A 19,352-nucleotide genomic window follows, 5' to 3' on the forward strand; every position below is an offset into this window, starting at 1 on the left:
AAATGTCCAGGACGTATTCTAAAATCACTCATCAAAACGAGAACCAAGAAAATCGCATGAATCAAAAAAGACCATCAACACATACTACACTAGTATGAATCAGATGTGAGAATGATCTAACAAAGATTTCAAAGCAGCTATCATAAAAATGTTTCAAAAAGCATTACAAATTCTCTTAAAACTAATGAAATTGTTTAAAATCTCAGATAAGGAGAAAGGTTATAAAAAAGAACCAATGTACAATATAGAACTGAAAAAATACAATAACCGAAATAAAAACCTCACTGGATAAGCTCAATAGTAGAGTGTAGATGACAGAGAGCAGAACCAGTGGACATGACTACAAATAAATTAAACTTATGAAATCTGAAAAACAGAGAAAAAATAGACAAAAGAAAAAAAATAGAGTCTCAGGGATCAGTAGGAGAATAACAAAATAACTTACATTCATATCATCAAAGTCCCAAAGAGGGGAAGAGAGAGAAAATGGGACTGAACAAGTATTCAAAGAAATCATGCCCAAAAAATATCCAAATTCAGCAGAAGACATAAATCTATATATTCAAGAAGCTGATCAAACTCCAAATAGGATTAAACCAAATAACCCACACCAAAGATATATCACAATTAAACTTCTAACTCCTAAAAGCAAAGAGAGTATCTTCAAAATAGAGAAATAACACATTACTTATAAAGGAATACTAACAGAAATAACAGATTTGAACCATGATATGAAACCATAGGGGACAGAAGAAAGTAGAAAAATTTTAAAGACTAAAAAGGAAAAAAAAAACTGTCAACTACAAGTTCTAAATGCAGTAATCTTCAGGAATAAAGGAGGAATAAGATTTCTCAAAGAAAAAGTAACCTTTTTTTCCAACAGCAAACATACCCTTAAAAAAATGTCTAAAGAAAGTTCTCTAATCCTAAAGAAGTGATAATAGAAGGTTAAGAATATAAAAAAAGAAGAACATCAGAATGAGTAAGTTAGAGGTAGATGCAACAGTCTAATTTACTTCTAATAAATTTCTTAAATCATATTTGATGATTAAAAGCAAAAAATATAACACCATCTGATAAACTGCTCAATGCATGCAGAGAGAACATCCTTAAGACAATTTTTTTTCTTTTTTGAGAGGGAGCCTTGCTCTGTTGCCCAGGCTGGAGTGCAGTGGCACAATCTTGGCTCCCTGCAACCTCCACCTCACAGGTTCAAGCAATTCTCCTGCATCAGCCTCCCAAGTAGCTGGGAATACAGGCGCACACAACCATGCACGGCTAATCTTTGTATTTTTAGTAGAGAAGGGGTTTCATCATGTTGGCCAGGCACCGTGCCTGGACAAGACAATTATATTTTAAAAGTAGGGATAGTAAAGGGAAAGTAGGGAAAATAAAAAGAAAGTAGGGAAAATAAAAGTAAACTAGGTGTTTACTCTTCATTCACAGTGATAACATATTATGACTAAGAGGCTATTATAAGTTATGTATGTATATTGCAACAACTAGAGCAACCACTAAGGAAACTATGCAAGGTGATATACTCAACAGTGCTATAAATAAATAAAAGAATCCCAAATGTTCAGATAACCCAAAGAAAGGTAAGTAAAGAGAAACAAAATAAGGAATAAAATGTCAGACTTAAACCTTGACATATCAGTAATCATCTTAAATGTAAATGGTCCAAACATACCAATTAAAAGGCAGAAATGGCAGAGGTGATACAAAATTATGACCCAACAATGTGCTGCCTGTAAGAAACTTGCCTTATATGCAATGATATAGATAAGTTTAAAGTAAAAAAATGAAAGCAGGTATAAAATGCAAACATTAATTTAAAATAAAGGCAGGAGTGACTGTATCAATATCAAATGAAGTAAACTTCAGAGAAAATTATTAGAGACAAAGATGGACTTACATTATGATAAAAGCATCTGTACATAAGAAAACATAATACCCTAAGTAAGTATGCAGCAAACAATGAGGCCTCCAAATACAGAGCAAAATTTGTTAGAAAGCAAAAATTGTTAGAGGTGAAAAGAGAAACAGATAAAGCCACAATTATAACTGCAGACTCCAACACCCTACTTTCAGAAATTGATAGAAATATTAGAAAGAAAAACAGTAAGAATAGAGAATATCTAAACAACGCAATGAAACAACAAAATCTAATTGACATATAAAGAACATCCCCAACAAGCAGCAGAATGTACATGCTTTTCAAGCGCCCTGTACCATTCACCAAAATAGACTATACACTAAACTACAAGACAAACCTCAACAAATTTAAAAGAACTGAAATCACAGCAAGTGTGTTCTCTGACCATAATAAAATCAAACTATATATCAATAACATAATGACAACAGAAAAATCTCTAAATATGTGGAAATTAAATAAGACATCCCTAAATAATACATGGATCAATGAGGAAGTTTCAAAGGAAATTAAAAAGATACATTAAACTACATAATGTTTTTTTAAAAAATCCAAATCTATGCAAATGCTACAAAAGCATCTGAGAGACAGAGTTATAGAAATAATGCTACATGAGACCTTTTACAAAAAGAAAAGGTTTCAAATCAATAATCTGTTTCTGCTTTCAGAAAGTAGAAAAAGAGCAAAACAAAGCAAGCAGAAGGAAAATATAAAAATCAGGGAATGGACTGAAAACAGAAAAATGATAGAGAAAACAAAAAGCTGGTCACTCAATCTCTAGCAAAACTGGTAAAAATAAAAACAGAAGAGGTACACATCATCTATATCAGGAATGAAAAGGGATATCACTACAAATACTTCAGTAGTAAAAAGATAAAATGGAATACTAGAAAAAAAATTTAATAACACAATAATTTTTAAAAAATTGACCATTCCTCAAAAACCATAAACTACCAAAACTTGACCTAGTAAAATTTTAAAATATGCATGGCCTTGCAACTTAAAGAAATTGAATTTGTAATTTAAAAGTTCCCGAAGATAAATCTGCAGGCCCCAATGGATTCACTAGAGAATTCTACAAAAATTTTAAAGAAAAATTAACACATTTCATACAGTCTCTTCCAGAAAACAGAAACAGAGGGCATACATCACAATTCATTTTATGAGGCTAGTATTATATTAATACTAAGAGGAAAGAAGGGAAGGAGGGAGAAAGCAAGCAAGCAAACTATAACCCAGTATCTCTCATGAACTTAAGGGAAAAAATCCTCAACAAAATATTAGCAAATCAAATTCAGCAAAATATAAAAGAATTAACACACTGTGACCACGTGAGATTACTCTAGGTATGCAATTGCTGTAGAATTTGAAAAACAATGTAATATAGCAACAGCTAAAAAAATCATATTGTTATATTAATTGATAGAGAAAAAGCATTTGACAAAATCCAACACTCATTCATGATGAGAGAAAAAAAAAACTCTAAGAAAATTGGAGATAAAGAATAAGAATGAGATTGACCTTCCTCCACTGATAAAGAATATCTACAAAAAATCTAGAGTTAACACCATACTTAACAGTGGAGGCCTAAAAATGCTTTCCCTACAAGGCCAGAAACAAAGCAAGAACATCTGTTCTCACCACTCTTATTCAACATAGTACTGGAAATTCTAAATACTAAAATAAGGCAATAAAAATAAAGGGCACACAAACAAGAGAGAAGAAAAATAAAACTGTCCACATTTACAGATGACATGATTGGCTATATAGAAAATCTCCTGGAACCCACAAAAAAAAAAAAAAAAAAAAAAAACCACCTACAACTGATAAATGAGTTTAGTAACGCTGTAGAAGATAAAATCAAAAAACACAAAAATCACATCAATTAAATGTGGAAATTGAAATTAATGATGCAATACCATTTACAATTGCTTCCCTCCAAAAAGAAATACTGGGTATATACCTAACAAAACATGCTGAAATTATAGAATGCTAATGAAACAAGGTTAAAAAAAAAAAACTAAATAAATAGAGAGAGACACCACATTCAAGGATCAGCAGACCATAGAGTAAATATATCAACTATCCCTGTATTGATGTATTAGTTTAATGCAAGCCCAGCAAGGTTTTGGCAAATATAAACAAGCTCATTCCAAAGCTTATATGGAAAAGCATATAGGTCCCAGAACAGCTAAAACAATCTTGACAAAAAAGAATAAAAAGAGAGGAATCACTCTGCCCAATATTAAGCCTTATTATGGTCAAGTAATCTTAATTACAGTAATCAAGACAATGTTGTATTGATAAAGGGACAGACACACAGATAAATTGAAAAGTTTAGAGAACCCAGAAGCAACCCCAACACAAATATGCCCAAATGATTTTTGACAAGGTACAAAAGCAACTGAATGCAGGAAAGATAGACTTTTCAACAAATAACACCAGAGCAATTAAATATCCACAGGCAAAAACCAAAACCAAAAGAAAACCTCTAACTAAACTTTATACTTTATGCGTAAAATTAACTCAAAATGGATCACAAACTTAAATGTAAAGCGTATAACCATAAACAATATTTTTTAAAACATGGGAGAAAATCTTTGGGATCTAGACAGAGTTCTTAGTCTTGACATCAAAAATACACACCATTAAAGGAAAAAATGATAAAGTGAACCCATTAAAATTCAACACTTTGGTTCTGTAAAATATCCTGTTAAGATAAGATGACAAGCTACACATGGAGAGAAAAAATTTGCAAACCGTATATCTGACAGTGGACTCGTGTCTAAAATATATAAAGAACTCTCGAAATTCCATCTTTGGCCAGTGGAAGCTCCTTCACATTGGCTCCTGCATTCTTTTTAACATGACCTTAGAAGTCTCTGATAACTTCCTCGCTTTCAGGAATGACATGTCCCAGCCTCAATTTGTTCATTTCTGGCCTAAATGCAAAGCTGTGCCAGAGACTTGGAACCTATTTATACAAGAGACCACGATTTGAGTAGAAAATGGTAGTTAGGAATTAAAACTTGAATACTAGCTTCTTAGTGTTATAAACTGAATTCTGTTCCCCCCAAAATTCATATGTTGAAGCCCTAACCCTCAATGTGACTATATTTGAAGATAGGTGTGTGTTTGGAGATAAGGCTGTATTTGGAGATTTAAGGGGGTAATTAAGGCTAAATGACACCATGTGGGGGGGCACCTAATCCAGCAGCAATGGTGTCCTTAAAGAGGAAAAGACACCATGAGTGCACACACACAAAGGAAAGGCCATGCGAGGACACAGGAAGAAGGCAGCCCTCTATGTAAGCCAAGAAGAAAGACCTCACCAGAAACCAAACCTGTCGACACCTTGATCTTGGATCTGTAGCCGATGAAACTGTGAGAAAATAAATTTATGTTGTTTAAGTTGCCCAATCTGTCATACTCTGTTATGACAGCCTGAGCAAACTAACACAAGTAGACACAACTATGAAATACATACTTTCTTTAAAAAGATAGAAAAATAAATAAGTTTATCCTAACATTTTTGAGTCAAATTAAGGATGAGAGAATTTTACTTATATTTTTATAATTGTACATTTTATTTTACACTGATAATATTGGTTATTACTGGAATTAGCATAATTGTTAGTTTTACCTTACCATATATAGAGACTATATATATATATATACACACACACATACACACACCATAGAGACGTATATATACCATATATAGAGAGAGAGGCCACATATATATATACACACACACACCATATATAGAGATCATATATATATACACACACGATATATATTATATATATACACACACACAGACACGCACATACCATATATATATATATAATAGTTTCAAATGGCAATACATATATTAACACTGACAAGAAGAACACCAAATGCAGTTTAAGGTTTCTTAATGGGATTTTGGTCAGTAAAATACATTATGAAAGAAATATTCTGCCATAATACTGTGCTTTAAAAGCACTCACTTTAAATATCTCTTCCCTGGGGAATCATACCACAAACTTGATACACAGATTGTTTTCAACTTTTAAAGACCACTTCATTTTTATTTCTATTTTTAACATTATATAAAACATTTACATGGTTCTTAAGTCTAGACCATAAAGCAGGTACATTCAGACAAGCATAGCTCACTCCTGCCCCTGCACCTTCCTTATTCTCTTCCTAATCCTGTAAATTATCACTCTTGTAATTTATTTAACTTTCCATTCTGTCTTTTGTAAAATATTAGTAAAGGCACATATCCTCTCTGTTTTCACCCCCTTTCTTAGACAAAAAGGTATTAATAGTATGCTATGAATACTGTTCTAAATCTGACTTTTATCAGGATAATAATATCTTGTAGATGATTCCATGGCTGTGTACAGACATCTTCCTTGTGCCTTTCCACAACTGCGTAGCCCTCCATTCTGGGGATGGTGGTGGTTGGCAGAATGCTAAAGATCCCCCTGCCCCCAAAGCCCCACCATCCCGGCTATTCAAACACTAATCTAGATACTTCAGCTGGTCCCCAACTTACAATGATTCAACTTGCGATTTTATGATATGTTAGTTTGCAATGGTGCAAAAACAATATTCAGTAGAAACCATACATGGAATACTCATATAACCATTCTGCTTTTCACTTTCAGGGTGGTATTCAATAAATTACATGAGATATTCCACACTTTATTATAAAACAGGCTTTGTGGGCAGGGAGCGGTGGCTCACACCTGTAATCCCAGCACTTTGGGAGGCCAAGGCAGGTGGATCACTTCAGGTCAGCAGTTCGAGACCAGTCTGGTCAACGTGGTGAAACCCCGTCCCTACTAAAAATACAAAAATTAGTCAGGCATGGCGGCATGCACCTGTAATCCCAGCTACTCAGGAGGCTGAGGCAGGAGAATCACTTGAATCTGGGAGGCAGAGGCTGCAGTGAGCCGAGATCACACCACTGCACTACAGCCTGCATGACTAAGCGAGACTCCATTTCAAAAAAATAAAAAATAGGCTTTGCGTTAGATGATTTTGCCCAACTATAGGCTAATGTAAGTGTTCTGAGCACATTTAAGGTAGGACGGGCTAAGCTATGATGTTCAGTAGGTTAGATGTATTAAATGCATTTTTGACATGATATTTTCAACTTATGATGGGTTTATTGAAATGTAACCCCATTGGAAATCAAGGAGCATCTGTATTGGGAAGTGAGTTTGAAGACATAATTAAAGTCCCAATTCCATTAATCTTAAGACACATAGATAATCTGAGTGAGCCTAAGCTAATCAAGTGAGACATTTAAAACTCATTTTCTCTGACTGATGGCAGAGGAGGGAAGTCAAAGATGTCTGAAGCATGAGGGGAATGAGTGCCTGCTTCTCAAGGCATGAGAAGCAATCTTGCTGGCCACCAAGAGAAAGTAAACAGGTATGCAGTAAACTGTCAATGAAGAAGGACAGATTCCTGAAGCTGAGCATGAACCCCAGCCAAATACCAGCAAGAAAGTGAGGATGTCAGTCCAAAGACTGCAAGAACATGAATTCTGCCAAGAACCAGCGAGCTTGGAAGAGGACTCCGAGCCTCAACTGAGAATCTCAGCACCAGCCAACACCTTGACATCAAGTATGTGAGATGTGAGCAGAGGATCCAGTTATACGAAGCCCAGACTCCTGACCCATGGAAACTGTCAGTTTAATAAACGGGCACTGCCTTTAATGATGGAGTCTGGTAATTTTCAACTTCCAAAATACAAAGACAAGGTAACAACATTCATCTGCTTTAGCCATCTTTCCCTTTGCTTCTGCCCTTGTGGTTTTGTGCCTTTTAATTCTTTTATTCTCATTTGAGTACAGTATCAGAAGAGAACACATTCAACCAGAAGATTACTGCTATGATTTCCTCAATTGGAAATCCTCCTCCATCTGTTCTTTACTCCTCCTAATGTTCTTGGCACTTGGCATGTGAGATCTCCTGGACCTCCACTCCATATTTCTTACTGTTTCCTCTCAAGTTTCCATGTCTTTGCCACCTGCTCTGAATGGTTTAATGTACCCTTTAATATTGCGTTTCAAAGCACCAATGCTATCCCTAGCAGAGGCCATTGTCTTCCAGTTCTAGACTTTCCAAAACAAAAAAAACACTGCCTTCTCCGTAGAGTTTTCAATATTTGTTAAAATTCCTTCTTTGTCTCTTCCATTAGTTCTGCCTCCATAAGAAATGCCTGGTCTGGCCGGGTGTGGTGGCTCACATCTGTAATCCCAGCACTTTGGGAGGTCAAGGCGGGTGGATTATTTGAGGTCGGGAGTTCAGCCTGACCAACATAGTGAAACCCTGTCTCTACTAAAAATACAAAAATTAGCTGGATGTGGTGGCGGGCGCCTGTAGTCCCAGCTACTCAGGAGGCTGAAGCAGGAGAATTGCTTGAACCCGGGAGGCGGAGATTGCAGTGAGCTGAGATTAAGTGAGACTCCACCTCAAAAAAAAAAAAGAGAGAGAGAGAAAGAGAGAGAGAGAGGAAGGGAGGGAAGGAGGGTGGGAAGGAGGGAGGGAAGGAGGGAGGGTGGGCGGGTCAGCCTGCTCTTCCCGTTCTTTCTCTTTCAAGTACCATGTTTCCCTAAATGGGCTGGGACAAATCTCTGCCTATTGACTTCTTAACCTACTCAGTACCCAATCAGGATGGGTGTGGCAAAGAAGCAGGTATTAAGAGGGAGCTGTTCTCTTCAAGGGCAGGAAGGTGGTGTAGTCTTTCTAGAACCTTACAGACAGGGACAGATTGGCCCACCATTTCCGTTCTGCTCAAGATCTTGTGGGAATAAGACTGCAAGCCCAAACCACCATATGTAGAAAGCATCTGCATTTTAGACCCTGCAGAAGCTCCAAGTTCTACTATTCATGCTGAGCTTAGGAGGCCAAAGACAGGAGCACCATCTCTGCCACACAGTGCAGGAAAAATGGAGCCTACCTTACCTCCCCTGCAAGCCTAAGGTCACTTTCCAGACCCTCTCTCTACACTCATCCTGTTTGTTGTGTTGCTCCAGAGACTGAGAAGAGTGGAGGTCAGTGTCAGGGGCATGCCTTCAGACCACTATGTTCCCACCACTGCTTCAGCTTCTAAACATTTATTCAGAGATAAGTCACAGCAATTCCCAGGGAGGAAGGACCACATGTGTCATACCCAATCTCTGAAGGTGTAAGTGGTTTAGTTCCTTCCAGTTAAAGAGCTTCTGAAGCTGAGGTTACAGGAAGTATTTTAGATAGCATCATCAGAGTGGCTCTCAGAAGAAGTAAACCTTGGACAGAGACTTGAATGATCTGAGGAAGCCAGTCATGCAAGCATCTGAAGGAAGAGATCATAGGCACAGGAAACAGCAACCAAGAAGAGCCCTGAGGTGAGTGCATAGGCTTAGTGTATTCAAAATGCAACAGACAAACCATGGGGCTCAAATGGAGTGTGCCCAAAGAAGACAAGGGCTAACACAAGGGCAAGAACTAGACAAGGCAGGACAGGTAGGACATGGTGAGGAACAGGGGTATTATTTCAGAGTGACTGGGTGTTACTGGAGGAGTCCAAGCAGGGAAGAAACAAAAGCTGATTTGCAGTGTGTAGGTACTCTAGCTCCTATATAGAAACCAGACTGTGAGTACAAGAAATGATCTAACAGCATCCATTGAGAAAGTTTCTTACTTGTTCTTTCTCTTTTATTGTTTTATTTTGTCCCTTTTTTGTTTTTCTCTTTTCTTGCCCTAACTCTATATGGTAGAACTGTTGAGAAGCTATATTAGTTGTTCCAGTGAAAAATGATGGTAAACGCAAAGACAAATCAGAGGTAGCAAAGCCAGCAGTGAGGCCATTAAAAATAAATAGACACGAGCAACTTCCACTTCTGGCCATAATGGACTAACAGAAACAGGATTCACCCTCCCATCTAAAACAACCAAAAAATAGCCAAAATACATGAAACATCACACTTCAAGACATTGGACAAGGAAAACCAGTGATCCCTAAAAGATGAGAAACAAGGAGGTTTGTTAGGAAATTCCACACCCCTCAATTGGAAGTGACTGATCTACAATGTAATGACATCCTGAAACACAAAAATCAAGAGAAGAATCTAACAGAATTATACAAATGCCTTCCCAGTGACAAATCTGCTCAATGAAAATCATATGTTCATGAGTTGATTTTGTTATTTGGCAGTATCTATCTGTGTGAAGACATTTTCAAAGACAAAACACATTAAATCACATTAAAAATCAGCACTAAGAGAAAAACATTTGCAACTGATTTAATGATAAGGACACTAACTTTGATCCCCAATTGAGCAAAATGTTATCTCCCCCTTCCCCGAAAAAAGAATTCTCTTCTCCCTAACAGACCTGTATTACAAAAGAAAAATTTCATTCAGTTAATATTGGTATATTTTTATGTCAATAAAAAACATGTGGGCTGGGTATGGTGGCTCATGCCTGTAATCCTAGCACTTTGGGAAGCTGAGGCAAGAGAATCACTCAAGCCCAGCAGTTCAAGACCAGCCTGGACAACACAGTGAGACCCTGTCTCTATCAAAACATTTTAAAAAGTATCTGGGCATGATGGCATGCACCTGTAGTCCCAGCTACTCCAGAAGCTGAAATGAGAGGATCGCTTGGGCCTGGTGTGGGGATCGAGGCTCCAGTGAGCCATGATTACACCACTGCACTCCAGCCTGGGCAACAGAGTAAGACCCTGTCTCCAAAAATACACACAGAAATTTGTTGTCTTGTTTGTTATATAGGTAGGTATGTAATCGCCCCAATTTTGCCTCTTGATCTACAAAGCCTACTCTCTCACTGTTACCAGGAAAAAAAAAATTGTCAACCCCTAATCTAGATCAATCTCAGCAATACCAGGCTCTGCTCAGTATTCTAGAACAAGTAAAACCCTGGATCTAGAAACAGACATTAAACCAAACTGTCAGGTCTCCTCTGGGCTTCAATACAGCACGGATCAGATGGTTCAGAAGGTGTTAATCAGAAAGCATCAGAACACGAAGCAAACTTGAGGAGCATCTAGAACAGCTCCTCCTTTTAGAGCAAAGAGTTACAAGCCGGGAGAAAGACCTGTCCTTCCTAGGACCAGTCCATAAACTCTCACCCCCTGCCCTGCTCCTCCTTCTGAGCCTTCAGCTACTTATTCCAGAATCTTACAATAAGGAAAATTACAACCAAGCCACTGGTCTAATATTGACTCCCAAAGGTACAAACAAGAAACATCTCAACACCCTGCTTTGGATTGTTCTCAGATCTAGGGCTGTGTTAGCCCATTCTCACACTGCTGTGAAGAAATATCTGAGATTGGGTAATTTATAAAGGAAAAAGGTTAATTAATTCACACTGCTGGGGAGGCCTCAGGAAACTTACAACAATGGCAGAGGGTAAAGGAAAAACAGACTCCTTCTTCACAGCCAGGAGGATGGAGTGAGTGCCAGCATGGGAAATGCCAGACACTTAAAAAACCATCAGATGTGGTGAGACTCACTCATTATCACAAGAACAGAATGGGGGAAACCACTCCCATGATCCAATTACTCCCACTTGGTCCCACCCTTGACACGTGGGGATTACAGGGATTATAATTCAAGGTGAGATTTGGGTGGGGACAGAGAGACAAACCATATCAAGGGCACACCAGGGATTTCTCACTCTGCTATAGTTTCAGAGGTCTTCTCTGGGTCCTCAGTACTTCCAAGCTGAGATTACAGGTGAAATATTAAGCCCCTGGAAAAACTCTTAAAAAAAAATACCAGATACACAGAGGCCAAGAAATACCCTACAACTACTAATACAACAGGCACTAAATTGAAGTTACTGATGAAACCATCAGAGAAAATCTTACCTTGCTTGGCAACTGAGCAGCAACATCTCACGGTTATAAATCAAAATATATAGAAGAACCAGGAAGGCTTTTGCTCTAATGCATGTTGAGGGGCTGTCAAGTAAACGGATAATTGTGGAGACAAAACCCTGTAGAAGACATTTAAACAATTTTTTGAGAGAACATAAAAAAATAGGGCAGTCTCAATTCTCAGAGTGAACAGACTATAATAATCAAGCAGATGGCAGGAAGTAAAATAATAACTACTGTTTTCGCATTCTCAATTTGTGCCAGATCCCATAACTAAATTTTAATATTATCTCATTTAAATCTGAAAGTTAGTCATAAAAAGTTGACAATGTTGTCCCCGCTTTAAAGAGAAAAATGAATATGGAAAAATTAAGCAATTTACCCAAATTCAGAGTTGGATAAAATCCAGGCCAGTTGAATGACAAAGCCTGCCTGTTAACTACTCAATCACACAACTGGAAATGTGGCAGCAAATAATACAACTGTCAGTCACAACTACATGTAGATATAAATCTCTGAGAAGAGCTGCATATAGAGAGATCATACCTCTAGTCTACACATCTGAGGGCTTAACAGATATAAAGACAATACTCAATACATGACACAAAGAAACGTATACTCCTATAACACTCTTTAATTAAAGGTATAATTCAACACAGAGGACTAAGTATTGACAAGGAATAGTGCTACTTTCCCTTTTAAAAGACAGACTATAAATAATTTCTATAAATATGCAAACAGAAAACAGACACACATACACACACATGGTTAACGAATGTAAGTAGTCAGAAATACGGAATCGTAATATCAGCAAGATGGCTACAGAGAACAGGAATATATAAGTTCCCAAGAGAGCTTAAGAGAGGCCAGCACCTAACAGTAACACTGTGTGTCCAAGACAGATTTAAGAAGCTCATTTTTTTTTGGCCACACTCCAGTCCTTTTCTATTTGGTGCTATGTTTCCAGGTAGGAAGAATTTACATAGTCATGTATATGCCATGTAAATTCTATGCTACTTAAGGATAAAAACATATCTAAGCATCAGTCTCACCTACTTCCTGAACCAAATTATCAAAGCCAAATTATTTATCTCAGGTAAAAAAAACAAATCAAGGCAGTCATCCTTGAGTAGAAGATCTGTTTTCTACCTTTCCAGCAACTAGACAGTAGAAAATCCATCTCCCCAGAGTCCATTCCTGATTCTAATTTATACTCTGTGGTCTAAGGACCACCATCACAAGTCTGTTCCCCATATCAACACCACCCCCAACATATACACACATAATTCCAAAGCCATTCAAATTTCCAGCAATCATAGACTGAAAAGCTCTTCCAGATTATAAGAGATTAAAAAGACATGATAACTGACTGCAATTCAAGATCTGGAAGTTTTGTTCCCATAAAGAACACTATCGGGAGAACTGGCAAAATCTGAATAAGGTCTGTAGATTAGCTAACAATACTGAATCAATGTTAGTTTCTTGATTTTGAAATTCACAGCTTGTTTCAAGGAAACATTCAATGAAATAATTAGAATTAGAAGAGCAAGCATCATGTCCACAAACTTCTCAAATGGGTCAGAAAACACAGATACACGCACACACACATGCACACAAAGTGAAAGAGATAAAGACAGAGAGAGAGACAAATTATAAAGTAAACATAGCAAACTGTTAACATTTGGTGAATGTGGACAAAGGATCTATTGCAATCATTCACACTGTATGTCCAAAATTAAACTCAGTGACTACTCTAAACATGAGTACTAGCCAAACTCAGAAGTCTGAGTACCATCCTTGACCCTTCTTTCCTTTCTCCCACGCCCAATTAACCCCAAGCTCTGTGAAAATGACACCCCCACTATGGCTGTATTATTTCTATGCACCATTATATCTTTCCTGAATTACTACAATCGGCTTTATCTAATTTTCCTTTATTCCATCTATTCTACAAATTTTAGCCACAGTGGATCCTCTGTAAGAGCAAATATAACTCACCTATAAAATATTCTCAATAGTTACACAACCATTAAAAAGAGGTTAAAACTAATTATGGCATATGAGGTTCTTCATGGTCTGGCTTTTCATTATCTTCCCAAAATCATGTATCATACCATCAACTCCACTGAATACCCTCAACACTCACCATGAAGAAGTAAAAAAAGGAAGATGAGAACATTGAACAAAGGAAAGCGGCAAAGGGAATCTCAGGATGATTCCAAGGTGACAGCCTTCACCAGACAGAGGGCAGCCTATCTGTAAGGAAGCTGGTCAGAGGCCCCCAGAGAAAACTCAGGAGAAAAAACTGACAGATTATACGAAGCACCTGAATGTACTCTGAAACACAAAGTGATGAAAACGAAGAAAGTTCCACTAGATATTGATCTACACAAAATTAACAGACTGATTACATATGCATATTGGAGCCTGTCTCATGTCCTACTTCAAAATAAACACCAAACAGCTCTAAGATTTAAAAAATAAACACAAAATGATTCAAAGATCTAGAAGAGGCCATGGGAGGTAGGAATACAAACATATATACATACATATATACATATTTCAATCTCAGACTGGGGAAAATGTTCGTAAATAATTAGAAAGAACAAAATAAGCGTGAGAAATGTAAATACAAAAAATGTTAAATGCCACATAGAAATAGAACACTATAAAGAAAAAAACCACATAAACTAGAGTATTTGCAGCACATTTTTTTAATAAAGGGTGATTTTCTTGATATATAAATATCAATAACTAAGAAAAGAACTTAAGAACTAAGAAAGTAAGAGTCCTAGAAACAACTGAAACCTCTGATCTCTTCCATGTGGAATATCACATTAACCAAGGATAATTTAAGGTATTTCAAAAAATACAGAAGATAGGAGGCAAGTTTCATATAAAGCTATCCATATAAACCTATTTCATATAAAGAAAACGAAAAATGAAAATCAAAAACATTTTGGCTGATAAAAACTCTTTTTGGCCAGGCACAGTGGCTCACGCCTGTAATCCCAGCACTTTGGGAGGCCAAGGCGGGCAGAACACGTGGTCAGGAGATCAAGACCAACCTGGCTAACACAGTGAAACCCCGTCTCTACTAAAAATACAAAAAATTAGCCAGGTGTGGTGGCGGGTGCCTGTAGTCCCAGCTACTCCGGAGGCTGAGGCAGGAGAATGGTGTGAACCCAGGAGGCGGAGCTTTCAGTGAGCCGATATCGTGCCACTACACTCCAGCCTGCGCAACAGAGCGAGACTCTCTCAAAAAAAAAAAAAAAAAAAAAAAGTTAAGAGTCTCACTCTGTCGCCCAGGCTGGAGTGCAGTGGTGCAATCTCGGCTCACTGTAACCTCCCCTTCCTGGGTTCAAGTGATTCTCCTGCCTCAGCCTCCTGAGTAGCTGGGACTACAGGTGCGTGCCACCGGCTAATTTTTTGTATTTTTAGTAGAGACAGATTTTTACCGTGTTAGCCAAGATGGTCTTGATCTCCTGACCACATGATCCGCCTGCCTTGGCCTCCCAAAGTGCTGGGATCACAGGCGTGAGCCACCATGCCTGGCCGAAATGCTCTGATTTTACCTGCTATGGGCTGAATGTTTTTGCCTGCCCCCATTCATATGTTAAACTTAATCCACAATGTAATAGCGTTAAGAGGTGGAGCCTTTTGGAGGTAATTAGGTCATAAGGACTATCCCTCATGAATGAGGTTGGTACCCTTATAAAAGAGGCCTGAGTGAGTTTATTTACCCCTTCCAACATGTAAGGACACAAAGACGAAACTATGTATGACAAATGGGCCCACAATAGACACCAAAGCTGCTAGTACCTCGATTTTGGACTTCCCAGCCTCCAGAACAGTGAGCAATAAATTTCCATTATTTATAAATTACCCCGTCTAAGGTACCTTGTTATAGCAGCCCAAACATACTAAGATACCACTCAACCAAAACAAAAAACAAAACAAAGCAAAATTGAGGGAGAGGTAAACTGTACTGTAACAGCTCAATTTGAAGGAACTATCATTAAATAAGCATTTATAGACATCAAAAAGGTCCAAGTCACTTAGTTATACAAGACAAGGAGGTATAGACAGTATACCTTAGGAACACAGATGCAAAAACTCCTCAACAATATATAAGCACGTTGATCCAGAATATATTAAAAGAATAAAACTTGATGACCAAGTGAGGTTTATCCCAGGAATCCAAGGCTGATTCAACATTTGAAAAACAATAAGTGGCCGGGCACAGTGGCTCATGCCTGTAATCCCAGCACTTTGGGAGGCCGAAGCGGGTGGATCACGAGGTCAGGAGATCAAGATCACAGTGAAACCCCGTCTCTACCAAAAATACAAAAAATTAACAGGGCGCAGTGGCGGGTGCCTGTAGTCCCAGCTACTCGGGAGGCTGAGGCAGGAGAATGGCGTGAACCCGGGAGGCGGAGCTTGCAGTGAGCCAAGATCGCGCCACTGCACTCCAGCCTGGGCGACAGAGCAAGACTCCATCTCAATTAAAAAAAAAAAAAGGTGTAATTCATCATAATTAATTGATGAAACAAGACAAACCACATAGCCATATCAATTACTAATAAAAAACCATTTTACAAAATTCAACATCCATTCATGATAAAAACTCTCAGTAACCTAGGAATAAAAGAGACCTCCTCAATCTGAAACAAAGCAAGTAGAAAACAAAAAACCTACAGCTAACATCATACTTAATGATGACAGACAAGGTGTTTCCCCAGAAACTGGGAAGAAAGCAAGGATGTTCATTCTCTTCACCCATGATTCAGTATTTTACTGAAAGCTATAGCCAGTATAAGAAGAAAAATAAATAAAAGACATTTAGATTTGAATGAAAGAAATATTTGCAGATGACATGATTATCTATGTAGAAAATCCCAAGGAATTTACAAAAAAAGCTCCTATAAGTGAGTTTAGCAAAATCTGGTATATTTCAACATACCAATAATGAACAATTGGAAAATAAATCCTTTTTAAAGTACCACTTTTCAATAGCTCCAACAGTAACAACAACAAAGAAGTATTGCTTTCACCCTAACAAAACATCTACAGAATCTGTACATTAAAAATTCTAAAATAGTGATTAAAGAAAACTTTTTAAACGTATAAATAATGAAGAGACATTCCATGTTCATGTAGTAAGACTCAAGTTAGTCATCAATTCTCCCCAAATTGACCTATAGACTTAATGCAACTTCAATCAAAATCCCAACAGGGCATTTTGTGGATGTAAACTAAGTTTAAAATTTCTATGGAAAGGTAAATAAAAACTAGAATATGCAAAACAATTTTGGGGGGATATGCAAGAATTGCACAATAATTTTAAGACATAAAAAAACTACGGTAATCAAAACAATGTAGTATGGACAAAATGATAGACACATAGAACAAGGAAACAAACTAGAGTTTAGAAATATAGTCCATTAGTCTATGATAAAGGTGCAAAGGCAACATTGGAAAAAGGATAATCATATGACCAAATGATGCTGGAACACCTGAACATCCACATGCAAAAATGTTAACTTACACTCATTCCTCACTCCATATGCAAAAATTAGCCCAAAATGTATTATACAACTGAATATAAGTAAACTTCATCAAAATTAAAATTTCTCCCCTGTGAAGGACACTGTAAGAAAAGACAAGCCACATACTGACAGAAAATATTTGTACCCAGAATATATAAAGAACTCTCAAAACTCAAAATTAAGAAAAAAATTTTAATGAACAAAATATTTAAACAGACATTTCACTAAAGAAAATATGTATCTGTCGAATAGATGCAAGGATGCTCAATATCATAATCATTATAGTAGTGCAAATTAAAATCATACTGAGATATAACTATGAGCTTATTAGAATGACTAGCATGAAAAACGGTGAGTATGTAGAGCAACTGAAGTTTTTCATACATTGCTAGTGGGAATGCAGAAATGGTACAGGAATCCTGGAAAACAGTTTGGCAGTTTCATTAAAATGTTCAATACATACCTATCATATATGCCTCAACCATCCTAAGTATTCTAATAAAATAAAAACTTAAGTTCACAGAAAACCTTGTACACAAAAATTGTACACAAAAATAGCAATATTTAGTTATAATACAGATTAAGTATCCCAAATCCAAAAATCTGAAATCTGTAATGCTCCCAAATCCAAAACTTTTTGAGCACTGACATGATGCAAGTGGAAAATTCCACACATAAGTACTTAATACAAACTTTGTTTCATGCACTGAAAATATTTAAAATATTGTATGAAATTACCTTGGCCTTATTTTATACAAGGTGTATATGAAACATAAATATTGTGCTTAGACTTGGGTCCCATCCCCAAGATTTCTCATTATTTATATACAAATATTACAAGATCCAAAAACACTGAAATCTGAAACACTTCTGGTCTCAAGCATTTTGGATAAGGGATATTTAATCTGCAGTCAAAAACCAAAAACAGTCCACATGTCCTTCAATGTGTACGTGAAAAAATAAACTGTGGTACATCCACATAATGAAACAGTACTCAGCAGTAATGAACTACTGATACATGCAGTGACATGGATGAATCTCACCTGCACTGTATTAACTGAAAGAAACCAGCTGCAAAGATTATATGCAGTATGATTCCATTTATATGACATTCTGGAAAAGATAAAACTATAGGGGCAGGGAAGACATCCATGATTGCCAGGGACTGGGATGGAGGGTGGTTTGCCTAAGACAAAAGCAGCACAAGGTCATTCTTTGGGAAACTGGAATTGTTCTGTATCTTTCTGGTGGTGGTAACAAGAGTCTATGGATATATTAAACCTCATAGAACTGAGTCCCCATGGAAGTAAATTTCATTAAAAGTAAATTTCATTATACATAAATTTAAAAATTAAAAAATAATATAGTATATATAATATACACATAAAATACATTATATACTATGTTATGTTATATATTATCATACATATATGTATATGTATTATATGTATATACATATATTAGATTTATTATACATGCTATATATATATTATATATTATCTACCATTCACAACAATGTATAACAGCAATGATTATAGTAATGAGTGTTATGCCTTAAACAGTAGAGCAACCACCTTTCTAATGTGAAAACTATGTAGGATACAAGAAGCAATAAAATATTTTATCACACTACTGTCAGTCTGAGACTTTCAAAAGAACAAAAATAAGTGAGGATATAGAAGACCTAAATAACATAAATAGATTAGATATTATGGGTAGATATCAAATTTTATATTCAAATAATGGAACATACATCTTTTACTTTACATAGAATGTTCCTTTAAGTTGATCATATAACAGATCATGAAAAAGTATTAAAATACTCCACAAAGTAAAAATAATTTTTATGATTACAATGCAATAAAACTAGAAATTAGGCTGTCATGGTGGCTGAAACCTGTAATCCCAGCACTATGGGAGACTGAGGCAGGAGAATTGCTTGAGCTCAGGAGTTCCAGACCAGCCTGGGCAACACAGCAAGACC

General features: G+C 36.8%; 1 protein-coding gene across 6 annotated transcripts in view; it reads right to left on the reverse strand.

Annotated features, from left to right (window-relative positions):
• The window catches only part of ULK4 (unc-51 like kinase 4), a 715,505-nt gene that overhangs the window by 495,952 nt on the left and 200,201 nt on the right, over positions 1 to 19,352 (reverse strand). For all 6 annotated transcript variants that reach the window (NR_136342.2, NM_001322501.2, NM_017886.4 and 3 more), the window contains one exon: positions 11,811 to 11,938. Coding sequence is in view for 5 of the 6 variants with exons in the window: in NM_001322501.2 (NP_001309430.1) it covers positions 11,811 to 11,938 (128 nt within the window). In the remaining variant the exon portion in view is untranslated. The remainder of the gene's footprint in view (positions 1 to 11,810; positions 11,939 to 19,352) is intronic.

The sequence above is a fragment of the Homo sapiens genome, chromosome 3 (genome assembly GCF_000001405.40).
Source record: "Homo sapiens chromosome 3, GRCh38.p14 Primary Assembly".
Taxonomy (NCBI): domain Eukaryota; kingdom Metazoa; phylum Chordata; class Mammalia; order Primates; family Hominidae; genus Homo; species Homo sapiens.